Source organism: Homo sapiens, chromosome 1 (assembly GCF_000001405.40).
Source record: "Homo sapiens chromosome 1, GRCh38.p14 Primary Assembly".
Lineage (NCBI taxonomy): Eukaryota > Metazoa > Chordata > Mammalia > Primates > Hominidae > Homo > Homo sapiens.
In genome coordinates, this window is record NC_000001.11 from 59,768,857 (window position 1) to 59,788,859 (window position 20,003).

The following is a 20,003-nucleotide window of genomic DNA, read 5'->3' on the forward strand; positions in this document are numbered from 1 at the left end:
GGAAATAATGAAGGCTGAAACATGTCCAGCCCCGCCTTTCTCAGCTCTGCTAAGCTGAAGGTACTCAAAGTCTTTTGTCAGCAGCTTCAGCGTTATTCCATCTAGAGGAAACCTAGCCTGAGGCAGGCAGTATGGAACATGCAGTTCAGACCAGCCTCAACCCTTCCCAGCCAGTAGGACTGGAATTCGTCTTTCTGCCATGAAGCCCTGAGCACCTGGGGCCACACCAAATGGCAGCTTTCTCCCCGAAAGTACAAACATGTTTGCCCAGGCTGGTTTGAACCCCTTGATACTGCCACACTATCCTTACGCTAGGCACAAAGAAAAGTAAATATTGATTCTTCTCCCTTGGTTTGCTGCATTATTTCTAAGCCATTTGTCAAAGTGTATTCCTCACATTACATTTCATTCTGTTTGAAACCCTCCCAGACTCAGGCCTCATGTACTGATCTCATTTCTGGCTCACCACTTCCTTCAAATTTGACTTTTGAAACTGTATCTCTGGGTAGAAACTTGGCTGTCCTTTAAGCATAGGTTAAGTTTTCCTTCATGCTAGTCTGACTTATAAGTTATTTCTCCCATCCCGTCCGGCCCAGAAAGCCCTATCTCAAGTTAAACCATATGGAAGGCTTATCTACCTACACCCAGCAAAGAACTGACCGTACATATCTGCTTTGCCCTCCAGTTTCCCTGCTAGGGCCAAATGTTAAGTGAAAGGCTATCTAAATGGAATTGTGATACGTTATCTAGCTTTTATCAGCTATCTCCCCCAGGGGCCAAATCCAGTTCCCTATAATTCTCCCGCCACCAACTTGGGCCTTGTTTTAACCCAGGCAGACCTCCCAGAGAAAAATCCAAGAGTCTTAAACCATATTTTGTGTTTAGAAACTCCTGTGCCAACCACTCTTGATGTGAGTGACAGCTATTGAAGATGTTCTCTGAAGGCTTCCTGATCCATGGCATGAAATAGTATTTCATTCTTTGGTCTCCTTGTGGTTGAAGGATCTTGTGACCAATCTGTTTAATGAGCTGTGAGAAATTATGTGTGTTATTTCCGGACAAAGTCTTTGATTGTCAGTGTGAGAATCCTCAGAGCTTTCTTTTCTCCTACACGACAACCAGCAAATGTTCCACGTGGGGATTCTCCCTCAGCGTGGGTTCCAGAGAGAGGATGGCTGTGAGCAGAGCCCCTAACCAGTGCACAGTGAACATGTGTCTTGGTGAGACATACACTTTTGTTTGTTGAAAACACTGAGGTTTTAAGTTTGTTTCTTGCCTCAGCATAATCTATCCTATCCTAACTGATGTACCTCATGCCATGAGGGCCACACTGACCTATATGGAGGCTAAATTTGCTAGGGTCAGAACAGCTGTCTCAGTCTTGCTTGGGGCAAAATTTGCAGTTAAGTGGATCCCTCTAGTCCCAACTCTGAACAACTCCATTACGCTCCCTTTCCTGACTAGCATGTGTTGTGCTCCCAATCTCACAAGTCAGGAGAGCACTCTCTTATTCTATGCTAGGGTTTCCCAAGAGAAGGTTTATTAGTGGGAATGGTGTTTAGGTGCAAGTAATAATAACCCATCTGACAGCTAAATTGATATGATAAGATAGTTGTTATTTACAGGGACAGGCAGCCATCAAGTCAACTTGAGGATTCAACAGTTCCATCAAAGAGCCAAGCCCTTTTTATCTTCCTATTCCTCCAGTCTTCATCAGCTAGCAATTGACCTCAGGTTTGTTACTTCCGATTACAAGATGCTGACATCTCTAAAGGCATCTTATTTTCACAGCATCCATAACACGAGAATCTTCTCTCTATGCTATCCTTTTTTTGTTCTTTGTTTTTTGTTGTTGTTGTTGTTGTTCTTGTTGTTGTTTTTCCTGATCAAGGAAGAACCTCCCAGCAGACTTCTCCTTAGGTTTCATTGGCCAGATTCTGCATCACACTCCAGCCACTATGGATTGCTAAAACTGGCATAGAGAACTCATGATGCCTTCTCCGGGACTGGGCATATTGCTGTTCCAATGAAATCATGGTTCTGTTAAAAAGGGAGGGAGGGAATGGCTTTTGTATAATCAGCCAACACTATTTACCAAAATAACACTAGATTTCATTTTTAAAAAAGAGCCATGGCCAACTAAGTTTGGGAAACACTGAGTTAAATATGTCTTGTTACTACAGAATATCTTATACTAATCTTGTAATATACTCATGTGCATTGTGAGCTTCCTAGAGAAAAATTACCTGTGAAGCATTTCCCAGACTTACTCCTTTAGACAAGTTTTTTACAAAGCATTTTATTGCACATAATGGAACAACCACAGTATTTCGAAGGTTAATTAACCAAATCATCATGTTTTCACCTGAGTTGTATAGATGTTTTTCTTTCATATTATCTGTTGGAAGGTTTATTCAGCAAATTGATAGCTCCTATTATTAAAATTTTGGTTATCTAATTACAGAATTAAAATGATATTCACTGCTATAGAAATTATTGCCTTACGAATGAATGTTGCTAATTATCAATGTTTAAACTAGTCATTAGAAATAGGCTCAAAAAGACCTCTACTTGGAAATATAAGAAATTTCAACTGAAAGTTGTCCCTTCAGTTAAATTAAATTGTAGCTCCAGACCATGGGTCAAACTAACGGGATAGCAAGTGTCACATTAACTAATTATTAACTAATAATTAATTATTAACTAATAATACAATCATGCATTTCTTTGTTATATTTTTAAATTTAGTATTTCCATCCATTCTAACTTTGAAGTCTTCCTTCTCTATCCTGTATTCCATGTAGGAAACTCCCTAGTAATGTATATCAGGCCAAGAATATCACGCCTCTCCAACTTACTTCCCCTCCTTGTGCACACCCTCACCCTAAACCATACATACAACACAGACAACATTAATATATTATTAGGTCTTTTGCTAAAAAGAGTAAAAAGTTATTTCCTTAAGATCAAGCAAATACTAAAGGATAGTGTAGCTAACATTAGCTATTTTGCGACATGAGTTCTTAATACTAAATGTCATGAGTTCTATTAAAGTTGTGCTGATTTAAATTTCAACCTTGTATAGATATTTTAATATCATTTTGACAATATACTTCTAAGCTGTTTATTTACTTTAATGGTTTTGTAAGAAGTTTCTGCATACACTACAAGATAAAAACTTGTTACAATTAAAAAGGATTTGAAGGAACCATGAAGTTATTTTAACAGTAAACATGTTTATTTTTTGTATAAATTGTGCATTTTCCTTTTTTACATCTACATAGTAATTTTTAAAGTATAATTTCTGAAACATATGGCTTAGCTGTTCTACACAGGTGCTACATAGAGCTGGAGAACATATTGTGCTTATATGTATTCAAGCATATGTTTCAATCCTACTCTTTTTACAATAAACATTTCATCGACTTCCTGCTATTTATATCAGGAACACGTATTTGGCCTTGATTTCACCTGCTCTTTTTGTAGAGAGACTTACAAAGAGACTCTGGGAGGTTATGGAATCTACAGGAAATAAATACAATGTCGATTTTGTTACAAGGTGATTGAGCTGGTAAGGAAGTGGTTAAAAAATAAACCTTTACAACTGTAAGTGTAGAATGAGATAACAATGTGTTACTCTTTTCGTTTTTTTCTGATTATTTTACTCTCCCCAAAACCCTTTTACATTTGTACAAAAACTTAACTCAGTGTTTAAAAAATATTGTTTCTCATACTATAATCACAACTCTAGTTTTAAGAATAAACAGTTAATATACCAATAAGAATAACTAATAATAATAGTAGCTAACAGTGGATAAGTGCTCACCATGGGCAGGCTCTGGTCTATGCCTGATCCCACTTAATCTTCATAACAAACGGAAATGATCAGCACTGTTATTTATATTTTGCAGATAAGGAAAACGAAGCACAGAGCAATTAAATAACTTGCCCAAGATCGCCCAAGATCACCCAAGATGTCCGGCTGAAGTTCTTAACCATTACCTTACACTAATCAACAGCAACAATAATAATAACCACCTTTCTAGGATGCAAATTATGTTCCAAGAACTTTCATTATTTCATTACATCTGCATAGCCCCAAGAGTAAATAATATCCTGTTCTATTGAAGAAGAAACTGAGGTCCCAAGACATGAAATTACTTGCTCAAGGTCACACACTGGTAAGTGGCATTAAACCACCTCCTATAAGTGTCAGAAGATAATTGGGGCTGAGGTGGAGCTGAGATTTTAAAAATATCAGTGGTAGGAGATAGACGATGTGATGCCCCATTTAAACTACATGGCAGTGGTGTCCTACGACTAGGAGAGGAGAGGCGGGAAAAGCTGAAGTCTCATGAAATAAAAATCAAAATAAAAAGAATGCTTGGCGATGCTATTAGTATATAGTCCCCTTTCGACACTTAAAAAATGCTCAGAAAGAGTGAAGATTTACTGCTAGAGGGGCTATGTTTTTAACTCTTTATACTCCAGACACAAGCTGCACTGCTATACAGTCAGCAGATGTTTTTTAGGAAAGGGCTAGATAGTAAATATCTTTTGGCCTTTCATATTATTTGATCTCATTCGCTACTGCTTAACTCTGCCATTGTAACAAGAAGGCAGTCACAGACAATATGTGAATGAATGGGCAGAGCTGTGTTCTAATAAAGCCTTATTTACAAAAACAGGTGGTCCTGCAATGTGGCCTGCAGGCTGTAGTGTGCCAGCCTCTGCTCTGGCCTCTGGGGTGGTGGCTTTGGGAGTATTGAGGACCAGTCCCCTAAGTGCGGTCATTGGCATTCTCATAAGTGTAGTGCAAACAGCAAGACAGTGGGGAAGTTCCTTTTAGTAGCTTTCGGGGCACTAGATATGAACCAGATGGAAAGGAGCGTGACTTTGGGAATTATAATGTTTTACAACTCCCAAATAAATGTATGATTTGAAGCAGAAGAAGCCTCAGTAATAATGGAGTTTGGCACTTATAATGAATGACCAAGTGAACATTGTATTTTTATCTCCAGACAGAAGACACATATGGATTTAACTGTCCCAAGCTCTCTTTCAATTCCCCATCAATTTTCTGCCCTCGGTTTTTTGCTTTTTTCCTTTTTAAAATGAGTTTAACATGTGTATCAATCAGTCTGAACTTGATGTGGTATATTCATTAAATGGTTTCATTTTTCTACTTTCACAGCCCTCAACTCTGTGATGTCAAAATTCCCTTCTCCATAGGTAACAGATCCTATCTGGCTACTTTTCATTATTAAGGTACAGTATACTTAAATTTATACTAAGTTGTGGCATAACTACAAAGAAAATAATTCCTTCAGTTTTCAAAACTGTACTTTTATCTTCCCATACCTCATAGGATATATACCAAGGATGCAGTTAAATACATTTAATAATCTTATTCTTAGTAATAATATTAGTATTCATATTTAAAAAATATACTAGGATATATTTTTCATAAAGCAAATGTTTATGTCTTTAGAAATCAAGATTTTTAGCCTGAAATAAAAGGCATACAAATATAAAAAGTTAAAACACTATAATCTTTAACTTGAAAAGGAAATACCAGTATCAATTTTTTGTTGTTTTTTTTTTTGTAAAATTGCTAGCTCTTTTCACCAAGAATACATAGAAGCATTGACAGGCCAATATCAATTAGCAATCAAAGGGTAAAGATGTTAGTGTCTAAATATCAAAAAAATCGAGTTCCCTTGTAGAAACTGCCAGCACCATATTGAGGATGAGAAATGTACAAGATAAGCCTGGGATATCTCGTTGTAAGTGAGAGCAAAGAAGCCATCAAAGACCATTGCATCACACTAAAATAACATTAGGGCCAAGTTGAAGGATCTTCCACTGACCAAAGGCAGACAATTTTGTATCAAAAAACTATGACTACAATGGACAAATATATGTGTGTGTTTACATATGTATAAACATTCATGGGTGGTCCCTAAATATCAATATAATTTATACTTACCCACTAGATAATTCTGCAACATACGGCTCATCAAATTAGATATTCTGCAAATATGTTCAGCCAAATCCTTCCACCTGCATCTAGATTTACAGTGATATCAAACTATAATTTTCTTTAGAGGAATCCATGTTCCTCACCAGAAAGGAAGAATAAAAGGCAGTTTTCTCAAATTTGAAGAACACAAGGAATCATCATAGTTGCCATCCGAGTTTAGATCCATAGTGCCTCTAACCTAAGGATTCTCACCCCTAGCTGCATATTGGAATCACCTGGTGAGCCTGTGCTTTACCTCTAGAGATTCTGACTGAATTGTTCCGGGATGTGACCTGGCATTGGTATGTTTGAAAAAACTCCCCAAGTGATTCTAACATGCAGGTGATGTTAAAAAAAACACTAAATCTGATGATGGCTTTAACCTTATGCTACCTGTGGGAGGAGGCCCTGTGGAACAGGAATGAGCGGGAACATCCTTCAGGAAATGCACCTAAAAACACCATCACCAACCATAGCAAGTCATGGAATGCCAGACATACCAGATCAGATCCTACTACTTATTTAATCTCCTAAAGAAACACTGTAAGGAATATACTGTTATCCTCATTTTTGTAGATGAATACTTTGTTATTTATTTAACCAAGATGTTAAATAAATAAATTACCAGTGGTCTCAGAGCCAGTAAATAGTGAAGCCAAGACTCGTACTAGGTCTGCACAAATGCAAAATCCATGCTCTTCACCATGCTGCATGCCAGGTACATCTTCTTCCCGAGTCTTAGCTAAGAACAGGCTGCTGTGTAGGTTGATCAGATAACTGTTCAGTATCAGCCTGTGATGATGCATTTTTCATTACTCTTCATCAAACAGCCACCTCTGGTGACGTGAATACTGCCAAGGCTGCTTTTACAGGAGCCGTGTAGAAGGCAGAGGTGATTGAGACTTACTTGAGAGTACTGCAAATGACTACTGGTTGTTAGAACCATTACCTAATGTTAGTATTTTAAAATAAACTACAAATTGTAAGGGAAGGGATCAATATTTTATGACTACAAAATACTACTTTCAGTAGAGAATCTAGAATTTCTATAAAGGAATTGCTTAGGGGACTTAATATGGTGGAAAGGAGAAGCTAGCCAACTTGTAATAAAACTGCTTTTACGAAGCCCTTTGCATAGGAAATGTGAACTGTTTAGATCAGAGAATTGAGAGGTAAAGTCAGCAGAAATTGTGGAGGAACTAAAGCCTCCACCCTTAATCTTCTTCTTGTCACTGCTACTGTCCCTCAGACAGGCAAAGATGTTTATGTAACCATCTGATTGGGGTTGAAAGGAATGAATTGGCTCCTCTGCAGCTATAATTTGTGATTGTAATTAAATATTACCCTTCTTTACCTTTAAAAGACATCTCTTGGTATCAAAAAATTTTGATTACAGTGGATTAATAAATATGTGTGTATATATCCATGAGTAGTCCTTAAATATGAACATATTTAATTTATACATACCCATTAGATAACTCTGCAAGATACTAGTCATCAAATCATATATTCTGCAAATATATTCAGCCAAATCCTTCCACCCTGCATCTAAATCTAGGGTGGCATCTTCCCATACACCTTCACCTCTTCCACTCTTGGAGTCTAGGTTCTTACCACATCTAACAGCTTCTTGGCTAGCCTTTTTGCCTCCATCCCTCTGCCTGACTATTGCTTCCAGTCTCATCTTAGACTCGCCAATCCCATCTTTCATTTGGTCTCCTATATTTTAAGGATAAAATAAAATAAGAGGAGGTCCCTGGGTATGTGCTAAGTGGGTGTGTGGAAGTAGAGTCCTACCTCACTATGGTGGAAGCATAAGAAGCTGAAAAATAAATGCTGGAATTATACCTGCAAGGGATACTGAGGTCAAAGGCAAGACAGCTGGCCAAGCCAGATTGTTCTTCCAATGGGCCAGGTGAGCAATGGATGTAAGGTATGGAGCCCAGGTGAGGAAGACAGAAAGCAAGAACTCAAGTGAGAGGTAGTTCATATGGCTGCCTCACTATCATCTTCCAGACAAAATGCTGATGATAGTAGTGTCTTTTTGTATGAAGTCCAGCGAGTATGCCAGGTGTACTTAAAGGGGCTGGAGTAATGTGGATACCCCTGACTCCAATACTTGGCACACTTAGGCAGAAGGAGCTCTTCAACCCACATAACCCCCAATGGATGTGACACTGGGTCTGGCTGTTGCATCACTGAGATTCCAGGACCTTCTCCTCCCATCAGATCTTTCCCTTCCATCAGGTCCAGTTCTGTCCAGGACTCTCCATAAGGCAGTGGTGCATGATATACGCCTAAATGGGCTCTCATCAGCACCTCCTCCTTCTAAGCTTTGCAATGATCTGAAGCCCAGGCCAGGTCACAGCACACGGACCCTATAACCAGCAATTAGGAAAGTAGCCAGCGTTTCTATCTATGGTAGCACTGAAAAATCTTTTCCCCTGAGTTTAAGTCAGGCTGGAAGACAGGGAATTCCATCGTGCCTTTTGTTTCTGTCAGAGTCAAAGCAGGAAATAGCTGCCAGCTGAGTATTCATAACAGGGATTTAAAAACTGGGAATTAATTACACAGAAGTGGAGGAACTGAGAGCCAAGCATGGGGTAGTGAGGCAACCCAGAGAATCATAACTGAAGGGAACCACTAAGACCCTAGGCCAGAGGGACAGAGGAAGAGGCAGTGTTACGGGCCCCTGGGCGAAGCTGGCATCCTGGCAGGACTGTTCTGGAGATGGCGCTGCTGGGGAGTTGCTGCCCAAGACAGAGAGGGAGGGGAGAAACATTCCAACTTCTCCCCTCTTCCCTCCCTCTAGTGTTCCACCAGTGCCTCCCACTGGCCAAATATGCAGAATTCAAGGGTCAGTCCCCTGAAATACAGAGCAGAGCAGGAGAAAGTGAAGAACCAATTTGAAGGCAATATGCCCAGGAGAGACCAATTGCCCTTGTTTGTCAACCTTCACCACTGCTCCAAACACAAAGCCCTCATACACACTTCCATAACAGTATCACTCCTGGCTTACATGCCCCACAGTTTTTCCTTATCCTTCTGCCATCCTTGTGCCAACCCACCAGCTATGCCTTACAGAGCCTCCATTCCACTGTAAACAAACTACTCTATGTCCTGCCTCTTCTTCAAATATTCTCTCTGACTTGAATTCAATCCTGATTCACACTTAGCAAAAAGCCCTGAATCATTTATTCACTCATTCAACAATGACATATTAAATGGAAATTATACCCGTAATAACTAACCTTGCATTGTTGTATGTGTTTTATATATATTAAGCCCTCCAATTCTCGCAACCACCTTATGCCCCTTCTATAGATGAGGAAACTGAGACAAGAAGTCCTTAAGAAACTTGCCACTCCCATAGTTCATAAATAGCAGGGCCAGAAATCAAACATGCATCCAGCCTCGAGAAACCACAGTTTTACCCACCATACATCACTGTTCCAAAAATGAATATACAGTAGTGAGCAACAGATAAAGTTTAGTAGAAGAAGACATTTTTAAATTTTCATTTTGTAATAATTTTAGTTTTACAGAAGACTTGCAAACAATAGAGAGTTCCATATACCCTTCACATTGCTTCCCCTAATGTTAACAACTCACACAACCATACAGTATTTATCAATACTAAGAAACTTTCATTGGTACGATGCTACTAACTAAATTACAAACTCTAACCAAATTTCGCCAATTTTTTGATTAATGTTTTCCTTTTCCAGGATCCAATCCAGGGCACCATGTTTCATTGAATCATCATATCTCTTTAGTTTCTCAGACTTTCTTTGTTTTTTGTGACCTTGACACCTTTGTAAATTATTGATTAGGGCCAGGCCTGGTGGCTTACGCCTGTAATATCAGCACTTTGGGAGGCTGAGGTGGGTGGATCACCTGAGGTCAGGAGTTTGAGACCAGCCTGGCCAACATGTTGAAACCCTGTCTCTACTAAAAATACAAAAATTAGCTGGGCATGGTGGCGGGCACCTGTAATCCCAGCTACTAGGGAGGCTGAGGAGGAGAATTACTTGAACCCAGGAGGCGGAGGTTGCAGTGAGCCGAGATCACACCATTGCACTCCAGCCTGGGTGACAAGAGCGAAATACCATCTAAAAAAAAAAAAAAAAAGGATTGGTTAGGCATTTTGGAGAAAGTCCCCGCATTTGGGTTTGTCTGATGTGTTCATATAAGTAGACTAGAGTTCTGAATATTTTGGACAAATGACATATTGGCAAAGTGCCCTTCTCACCACATCACATCAAGGATACAAGCTATAAACATGAGCTATCATTGATGATGTTAACCTTATTAATTTAGTTAAGGTGATACATGGCAGATTTCTCTGCTGTTAAGTTTCTATTTTTCCCTTTTCATATTCTGTTAGTTAGAAGTGAGTACTAAATCCAGCCCTCACAAGGGAAGCAGAGTTAAGCTCTACATCGTGGAGGAGGCAGCAACTACGTTTATCATTTGGAATTTGGCAGGAAATATTTATCCTTTCTCCTCCATTTATTTATTTATTCAATCATTTATCACTCAGTAAACATTCATGAATATTCATTTTATTTTTTAGGTTATATTCCAATACTGTCATTTATTTTGTTTCCCTAACTGGGGCAACAAGTTAGAGCTCCCACTGCCTAGCTTTGGCCAATGGGAGCTTTTTCAGGTTGACTACTGTGCCCTTTTCACATGTCCCCATTTTGTTGAGCCCTTCCTTGCATTCTGTCACTACAAAATGCTCCAGGCTTATCTTGGATTTTCCCACCCCTGCCCTAGAATCAGTGATTTCTCCAAAGAACACTGGTTCCTTTTATTGGAGAATGGTATCAGAAACCAAGATCTGGGTGCCGGAAGTGCTTCTAGTTTCTCTCAGTGGAAAAAGATAGAAAATACATGTATGTATATATACTAACCCATGTATATATACATAAAAAGACTTTGAATAAATGAAAGCACAAATGGGTTGTTATAAATGCTATGAAGGAAAATACCAGATTCTTTATAAAAGGGTTATAGATATGATTTAATACAAATGGGGTTAGGTAGAAGTCAAGATGGTCTTCTCTGCAGTTAAATACTTAAGGTGAAATCTATTGAATGACTAGGAATTAGCCAAGTGAAAGGGCAGAGAGACAGCAGTACAGGTAGAAAAACCATCATTTAAAAGAACACTAAATAGCAGGTGCTCAAAATGTTTGAAGAGTTGGATGAAGTCCATCGTGGTGAGAGTGGAATGATCCAGGGGATACGTGACCACAAGGGGGCCAAGGCTGGATCACATAAGACCTTGAAGGCCATGATAAGGAGTTCAGATGTTGTCATAGTGTAATGGAATGCCACTGAAGGGTTTTTAAAAGAGGAGGGAGTTGCATTCTACTTCACATAGAGTTGTAGAATCATGTAAAGTAGAAACCTCCTCAATTTCCTCAGCTCCTCAATCCCCACCCCACTACCCATAAGCTTTTCCCTGCAGGCACCCATCTGCAGGAAGCTTTACAGTTGGCCACCTCACTCTGGTCCACACCAGAGTCTTATCTTTCTGGTCTTTAGATTTCACCAGGCCACAACTATAAAATGACTTATATGAAAAATACTTGTATACTTTTATTATAAAATTTGCTGTCATTTACATTATTTGTTCATTCACTCAGTCTTTTCTAGGAACTATATCTGATGCCTCCCAGAACTCCAGAATCTACTAAATATTAAGAACAGTGTTTCCCTCTATTCCTCAGCTGCCAAGGAGCTCATGACTACATTTAATATACACACAATTGTATTTTCCTCAGCTATGAAATCATGATAAAATAGTTCTTGCCTTCCCCTTCATTGATTAGTTGCCTTTATAGTATGCTAGAATTATTTTACTATGCCAGTACTTTTATTGTAAGCTAATTGAAGATTTTTTGAAATTAGAACAGTTTTACCATTTTTAAAAATTAGCAAAAAAAAAAAAAAAAAAAGAAGAAGTATTTTCTGCCACTTGATAAAGGACTTTTCTCTTTAACACCAGTAACAGCCTCAGCATGAGGATTCTGGTAACAAGGAACCCCTGAGGTTGCTCTGGTTTTTTCTGAACAGCTCTAATTACTGTAAAGTTATTAAATGTTTATTGATTGTAGAACCAAATGAATAAACAATGGTCTGTTGTTCTACTAAGTTCAAAACACATTAAGGAAACAATTTGTTTATTAAAAGCATGGATTTTTAAAAGCATGGATCAAATATAAAAATAAAAATAGAAGGGTTTTATATAATATGTAAAGTAGTACTAATAGAATGCAATAAAGACAAATAATTATCCCCAGGGGAACACTATTACAGGCAGGCTTGATAATGATTTATTTTTTCTTTCCTTTTGTGATAATTATTCACTCATTGGTACTAAGAGATGCTGACAGTTCACTAACAAGATGATTGCTTTTGCTTCACATATTCTGTGCTTTCCTCTCATTTTAGTCCTAAGACAAATTATTCAATTACTTTCAGGTGCTAAATTTGTTTTAATAGTGTCTATTCTATGTAGATATATGATTCTCTAATTTTAATAAAATTAGAGCAATTTTATTTTGATATTTTAGAAATACACTGAATGCCATTTAAAATGTTAAGGAATTCTTAGTTTTTTCACCATACATAAATTTAAGTTTGGAAGTGAAGTCAGAATAGACTTGAGACTTAGATACCCAAGACTTGGATCTGAAATGCAGCCATACCACATACTAGCTGTGTGTGAACTTGGACAAATTAATTAATCCCTTTGGGTCGCTCTTTTTTTCAATTTTAAGGTAGAGTTGGTGGTAATCACTTCTCTACCCAACTCACTGGGTTGTTATGAGGTTCAAATGAAACAATGGCTTTGCACACCATAAAGTTCTTGTCAAATATCGGTAATAGTATATGTATTCACTTATTTCAAAAACATTTGTCAAACACCCACTCTATGCCCGGCACTGTGCTCATGCCAGAAATGTGCAAATGTTTGAATAGAAGATTATGAAGATGATTATGTCACTGTTTCTTAGGTTTAAAATGTACATATCTTACACCAACATAACAACGTGAATATATAATACAGTTACGATATTTCTTCCCATTAAGGCTTTTGATTATATTTTGCTCATTTTAGAAGTAATAACTTTATTCTAACTTTGTCATAGATATTATATACTGAATGTAACTAATTAAACAATGTAGTTGAAAATCTTGTAAACAGGATACAATATATAATTCTATTATTTCTAGTTAGAAAAGCCAGAAACTGGTTAATTTTTTTTCTTTGAGACAGGGTCTCACTCTGTTGCCCTGGCTGGAGTGCAATGGCATGATCATGGCTCACAGCAGCTTCAAACTGCTGGCCTCAAGCAATCCCCCTGCCTTGGCCTCCCAAAGTACTGGGATTATAAGCATGGGCCACCATGCCCAACCTAATTTTATTTAACCAGTGAATTCCAACAGGTTTTATGTTTAGTTCCCAGTGTTGTCTCTTATTGATTCTTCTTATTTCGAACTGACAGTGAGCCCAGACAGAGTTTTAATATAAATTGTCATGGGGAAACACTCTTGAGATCTTCTGTGTCTTCTGTTTTTGAAGAGTTTGTTTCACAGTCAAGCAGAAACAACAGTATGGACTCTAAGTGCAAGAGAAATGTGTGCTATAATTACAAAGGCAGCAATGAAATATAATTACTACAGGGGCAGCAAGAGGCAACAAGATAATAGGCTGAGTTCAATCATTCAAAAAATACTAAATGAGCATTTACCAATGTACTTTGCTAGTGACAGGGAATACAGTAGTTAATGCAGAGCTGATACTCACTTCATGGAGTTTAGAGAAGTGAAGAAGAGTTCAGAAAAGTTAGAGTGAGTCTTTTTTTATTTTTATTTTTAGAGACAGTGTCGCACTCTGTCACCCAGGCTGGAGTGCAATAGTGCAGTTACAGCTCACTGCAGCCTTGATCTCTCAGGTTCATGCAATCCTCCTGCTTCCGCCTCCCAAGTAGCTGGGACCACAGGCACAGGCCACCACACCTGGCTAATCTTTAAATTTTTTTGTACAGACAGGGTCTCACTATGTTGCCCAGGCTGGTCTTGAACTCCTGGGCTCAAGCAATAATCCTGCCTCAGCCTCCCAAAGCAGTGAGGTTACAGGCATGAGCCACTGTGCCCCACAAGTCTTCTAAGCAGAGAAAATAGCACCTGGGAGGGCCTTGGAAGTAAGAAGTATGGTGCCTTCAAATTACTCCTGGAGCATAGAGGACATTTACTGAAGTGTTCTGTATATCTTTGTATTTCTCACAATATCAGGAATGGGTTGTCCACAGATATTTTTGAATCTATAATAAATGGTGAACACCAATGAGCATGGCACCATTGGGTCTGCCAGTCCTCCTGGAGCATGTCTGGTTCTGAATGTCAGAACATTAATATTTTCATTGGGAAAATGTGAGTCTTGATAGCACTACACAGAATGATAATGGAAATATAATGAGGTGATAAAGGAGCAAACTTTAAAATGTAAAAACATCATCAAATGTTTGTTGTTCATCTTTGAAACAATTGGAACAGTGGAAAGAACATGGAAAAGAACAAAATCAAGGAAGATACTAGATTGAAAGGGGTCAGAATCTTGAACATTTTCTTAATTTTAATTCTAAAATATGTCAAAGAATAGAATGTTTCTGAAGCTGAAATAGCCATATCTGTGTCAATGTCAGAGTCTCATATACTCAACTTGGGGAGAAACAGAAAGCGCCAGGCTGTCAGCTTAAGCAAGGCTCACAGACCAATGCACCTGAATTTCACACAACAGAATAGAAGGTGACCGGTTTGCTTAAAGAATATCTTAGTGATGCACATCAGCCAGTTTTGATACTTCCCCCAGAGAATCAAACTCTTGATTATATATTTATACACACATAGGGAGATATGTATGTTAAAAGGAAACTTGTTAAAGCTTTATCTTGAGTTATGAGAAAATATATGTGAAAACACATACTCTATAAATATTTATAAAACTATAAGAAACTTATACATCAGTAACATTTTGATAATTATAGTGACTCATGTCATTATAATCTTATGGGCAAAGCTTCTTTAAATTGTTCTTTGGAAACCTTCACTAAATGGTCTTGAATAGAATCCAAGTCTTGAATTGCTTAAATTAATTCCACTCTCTCCTGAATGGTGTTGTAGTGCTGCTTCAGGATATTAGATAATGGAATTGTGACCCTACAGCTTTATTGGAGCTAATCATATTAATAAGGCCAAATAGGTCTTTATCTAGGATGAAAGAACCAAATAGTATAGCACTTAAAAAAAAACAACCATTGAGATATCCTTGGAATAATGCCACAAATTTAAGTCTGGGGGAGAAAAAATAATTATTAGAGGACAGAGTGCATTCACATATTGCTCAATTTGCCATTTACTTAAGTACTTGAAGTTTGGGAAGCATTCAGACTATAATGATGCTCATCACATACAAGGAGCTTGGGTTAAAAGCTTTCTGAGCGTCCTCTATTAAACACAGTAGCTGCTCTCCATAGGGCATTACCATATTAAAGATCCTACAATATTATCAGTTAATTTACTGGTCATATTACACCAAGCATATCAACTTGGTTTTAATTATTCTGCCAATACTAATTGATTGGTAGTGGCTGCTGGGTTACAAAAAGGCTGTGATTGTAAACAAACTCTAAAGCAGAGATCATGGATATATGTGTTTAGGGGTGGAACTGGGGCGTTCACAACCCCTATATAGTGACAGTAATGGTTCTCTATTACAGAAAAGGCTGATTAAGCATAGGCTCAAGGTTACAGAACTATTTATTCATTTGTTTATCATTCACTTCGTCAAAAATGATACGGAAGAAAATATAGGTAATATACAGTGATAAAGAAATCAGGGCAATGGGAAAGTAAAATCAAAAATTAAGACAAGGCCACTAAGAAATACAAGCTATAAGATCCGGCACACTTAGGAAAGGGGACTTAGAATTTGACTCTAAGTTTCCTGATAGTCTAATTGAAAGTGGAAGGCATGATCATTTACAAGATTCGGGCTGTCTTAAATATAAGGCAGGTCCTATACGTAAAATGTAAGACAGACATTCTGGTATAAAAGAATGTAAGTGGACCTAGAAGACATGAATTTAAATCTTAGGTCTGCCATTTAGGAGCTAGGTGACTTTCAGCAAGTTATTTAAACTTGACTACTTCGATATCTTCATTTGCAAAATGTGGATAATAATGCTGCTTCATGAATTGTTTTGAAATAAACAAAGAAGTAAATATGCTCTTTATTTTTTGTTTGGTCACCTAGATCCATTTGCCTTGCTTTTCTGTCCTACTTCCTGTCCTGGGAGGTTGACCCTAAAAACCGTGCCACCCAGGCTCCCATTGCCCTCTGGCTTTCTATTTGGTTCAGCCAACAAGAGGTACTCCCTCCCCACTGCCTCAATACCAACTGTCTAACTGTAGCTGCTCTTTTTATGACTACAACTCCTGATGGGCAGTTGCCTTATGTATTAGTCCATTTTCATGCTGCTGATAAAGACATACCAGAGACTGAGAAATTTACAAAAGAAAGAGCTTTAATTGAACTTACAGTTCCATGTGGCCTGGGGAGCCTCATAATCATGGCGGAAGGCAAAGAGGAGCAAGTCAAGTCCCACCTTACAAGAATAGCAGCAGGCAAAGAGAGAATGAGGAAGTTCCAAAAGCGGAAACCCTTGATAAAACCATCAGATCTCGTGAGATTTATTCATTGCCATGAAAACAGTATGGGGTAGACTGCCCCAATGATTTAATTATCTCCCACTGCGTCCCTCCCCCAACACGTGGGAATTATGGGAATACAATTCAAGATGAGATTTGGGTGGGGACACAGAGCCAAACCATATCATTCCACACCTGGCTGCTGCCAAATCTCATGTCCTCACATTTCAAAACCAATCACACCTTCCCAATAGTCCCCCAAAGTCTTAACTAATTTCAGCATCAACTCATAAGTCCATGGTCCAAAGTCTCATCTGGGACAAGGCAAGTCCTTTCCACCTATGAGCCTGTAAAATCAAAAGCAAGCTAGTTATTTCCTAGATACAGTGGGGGTACAGACATTGGGTAAATACAACCATTCCAAATGGGAGAAATTGATCAAAACAAAGGGGCTACAGGCCCCATGCAAGTCTGCAATCCAGCAGGGCAGTCAAATCTTAAAGCTCCAAAATGATCTCCTTTGACTCCATGTCTCACATCCAGGTCATGCTGATGCAAGAGGTGGGTTCCCATGGCCTTGGGCAGCTCCACCCCTGTGGCCTTACAGGGTGTAGCCCTGCTCCTGGCTGCTTTCATGGGTTGGCATTGAGTGTCTGTGGCTTTTCAGGTGCATGGTGCAAGCTGTTGGTGGATCTACCATTCTGGGGTCTGAAGGTCGGTGGCCCTCTTCTCACAGCTCTACTAGGTGGTGCCCCAGAAGGGACTCTAGTCCCATTTCCCTTCCACACTGCTCTAGCAGAGGTCCCTTCCACACTGCCCTAGTATACATCTTCTGACATCTAGGCAGAGGTTCCCAAACCTCAATTCTTGACTTCTATGCACCCACAGGCATAACACCATGTGGAAGCTGCCAAAGCTTGGGCTTGCACCATCTGAAGCCATGGCCCAAGCTCTACAATGGCCCCTTTCAGCCATGGCTGGAGTGGCTGGAACTTAGGGCACCAAGTCCCTAGGTAATGTACATAGTTCAGGGACACTGGGCCCAGCCCACAACACCACTTTTTCCTCCTAGGCCTCTGGGCCTGTGATGGGAGGAGATGCCATAAGGACCTCTGACATGCCCTAGAGACATTTTCCCCATTGTCTTGGGGATTAACATTTGTATCCTCATTACTTATGCAAATTTCTGCAGCCATCTTGAATTTCTCCTCAGAAAATGGGATTTTCTTTTCTATCACATTGTCAGGCTGCAAATTTTTCAAACTTTTACGCTGTTTCCCTTTTAAAACTGAATGCCTTAAACAGCACACAAATCACTTCTTGAATGCTTTGCTACTTAGAAATTTCTTCCACCAAACACCATAAGTCATCTCTCTCAAGTTCAAAGTTCCATAGATCTCTGGAGGAGGGGCATAATGCTGCCAGTCTCTTTGCTGAAACAAAACGAGTCACTGTTGCTCCAGTTCCCAACAAGTTCCTCATTTTCATCTGAGACCACCTCAGCCTGGACCTTATTGTTCATATCACTATCAGCATTTTTGTCAAAGCCATTCAACAAGTCTCTAGGAAGTTCCAAATTTTCCCACATCTTCCTCTCTTTTTCTGAGTCTTCCAAACTGTTCCAACCTCTGCTTGTTACCCAGTTTCAAAGTTGCTTCCACATTTTTGGGTATCTTTTCAGCAATGCCCCACTCTACTGGTACCAATTTACTGTATTAATCTGTTTCCATGTTGCTGATAAAGATATATCTGAGACTGGACAATATACAAAAGAAAGAGGTTTAATTGGATTTACAGTTCCACGTGTGTGGGGAAGCCTCACAATGATGGTAAAAGGCAAGGAGGAGCAATTCTCATCTTACATGGATGGCAGCAGGCTAAGAGAGAATGAGGAAGACACAAAAGTGGAAAACCCTGATAAAACCATCAGATCTCATGAGACTTATTCACTCCCATGAGAACAGTATGGGGAAAATGCCCACCGGTTCCCTCCCACAACATGTGAGAATTATGGGAGTATAATTCAAGATGAGACTTAGGTGGGGACACAGAGCCATACCATATCACCTTCCATGCTGTCAGCTATGGGTGTGCACTCTCTTTCTGACTAGAGCCCTGATTGATAAAATGAATATTTATAAAATGGAAGAAGTTGGAGAAAATAGAGTCTCATTATTAAACCCCTACTACAGGCCCTGCACAGAGGCAGGCATCTTTATAGTGGATATTCAATAAATGCTGATAAATTTGAAGAAAAGGGAATAAGACAAGGTAAAGCAGATTTCACAAAAATCTGAGACACAAGATTCAGATCCTTTGTGTCAGATGATCCCATTTCCCAAATTTGGAATGTGAACAGAAGAAAGAGAGACAATGAGGATTGTCTGTTCAACTCAGCAAGCCTGGAAAACAACAATGCTAGTATGTATGGAAGACATAAAATACTATTCTAGGTTTAAGTAAGATTTAAAGGAAAATAGTACAGTAAAAGGCAAGTACATGATTTTTCACTTGTCATTTTGTGAACTTGGGTATAGAGTGGAAGTGAGCAGACATGAACATAATTAATGGAATGGCCATTTTTCTTACATGCCTAACCATTTTTTTGCATGATTTACAATTTTCAAATGCTATTCCCTCAGAAAAGAAATTTTACCTTGTTTTCACAAGAAAAGATCAAGTTGAAGAATGACTTTAACAATAAAGTAACCAGTGCCCCCAAAGTATATTATTCACAGTGTCTAGCATAGGCACAGTGAAAGGTTCATGGGTATCCAGCAAATTCTGTTGTTGGTCCTGGAAACCAACAAAGTCAGATATTCAAAATGCCTTTCTTGTTTACAAAAAGTATTCTACTTGTTATCGTTGTCAGGAGAGACCCTTTCACTCAGATCCTCTTTATCGAGAAAACAGAAAACCCTCATAAAAGCATCAGATATTTAAAAAATTTTTAAATTTCTCTTTTGAGCACAAGCTTTTTGTTTGTTTGTTTATTTGTTTTGTTTTTTACAGGAGAATGGAGATGTCTCGGATTTTTTGTGCACAAATTGTCCTCAGAACCAAACAAAATAACCAGCATAGGAGAGAATTCACAAAGTAAGAGACTCATAAAGTAAAATGTTTTGCTTTACTTTTTGCCTTTTTCATCCTGCTTTGTTTTTCAACATGTGTAAATCATTCTGTTACTATAAACTTAATAAAGAAGTAAAAGAGCAAAGACCAAAAATGTAATAATGAAATAAAGTTTTTATCA

General features: G+C 38.6%; 2 long non-coding RNA genes across 2 annotated transcripts in view; one reads left to right on the forward strand and one right to left on the reverse strand.

Moving 5' to 3' along the window:
* Positions 1-1,963: 1,963 nt before the first annotated feature.
* The window catches only part of LOC105378758 (uncharacterized), a 44,047-nt gene continuing 26,007 nt past the window's right edge, over positions 1,964-20,003 (reverse strand). The window contains exon 5 of the long non-coding RNA XR_947426.3: positions 1,964-2,040. This is a non-coding gene — a long non-coding RNA (uncharacterized LOC105378758). The remainder of the gene's footprint in view (positions 2,041-20,003) is intronic.
* Positions 3,939-19,976, forward strand: LOC101926944 (uncharacterized). The gene is made up of 3 exons (NR_110627.1): positions 3,939-4,181; positions 5,195-5,268; positions 19,763-19,976. It is a non-coding gene; the product is annotated as an uncharacterized LOC101926944 (long non-coding RNA).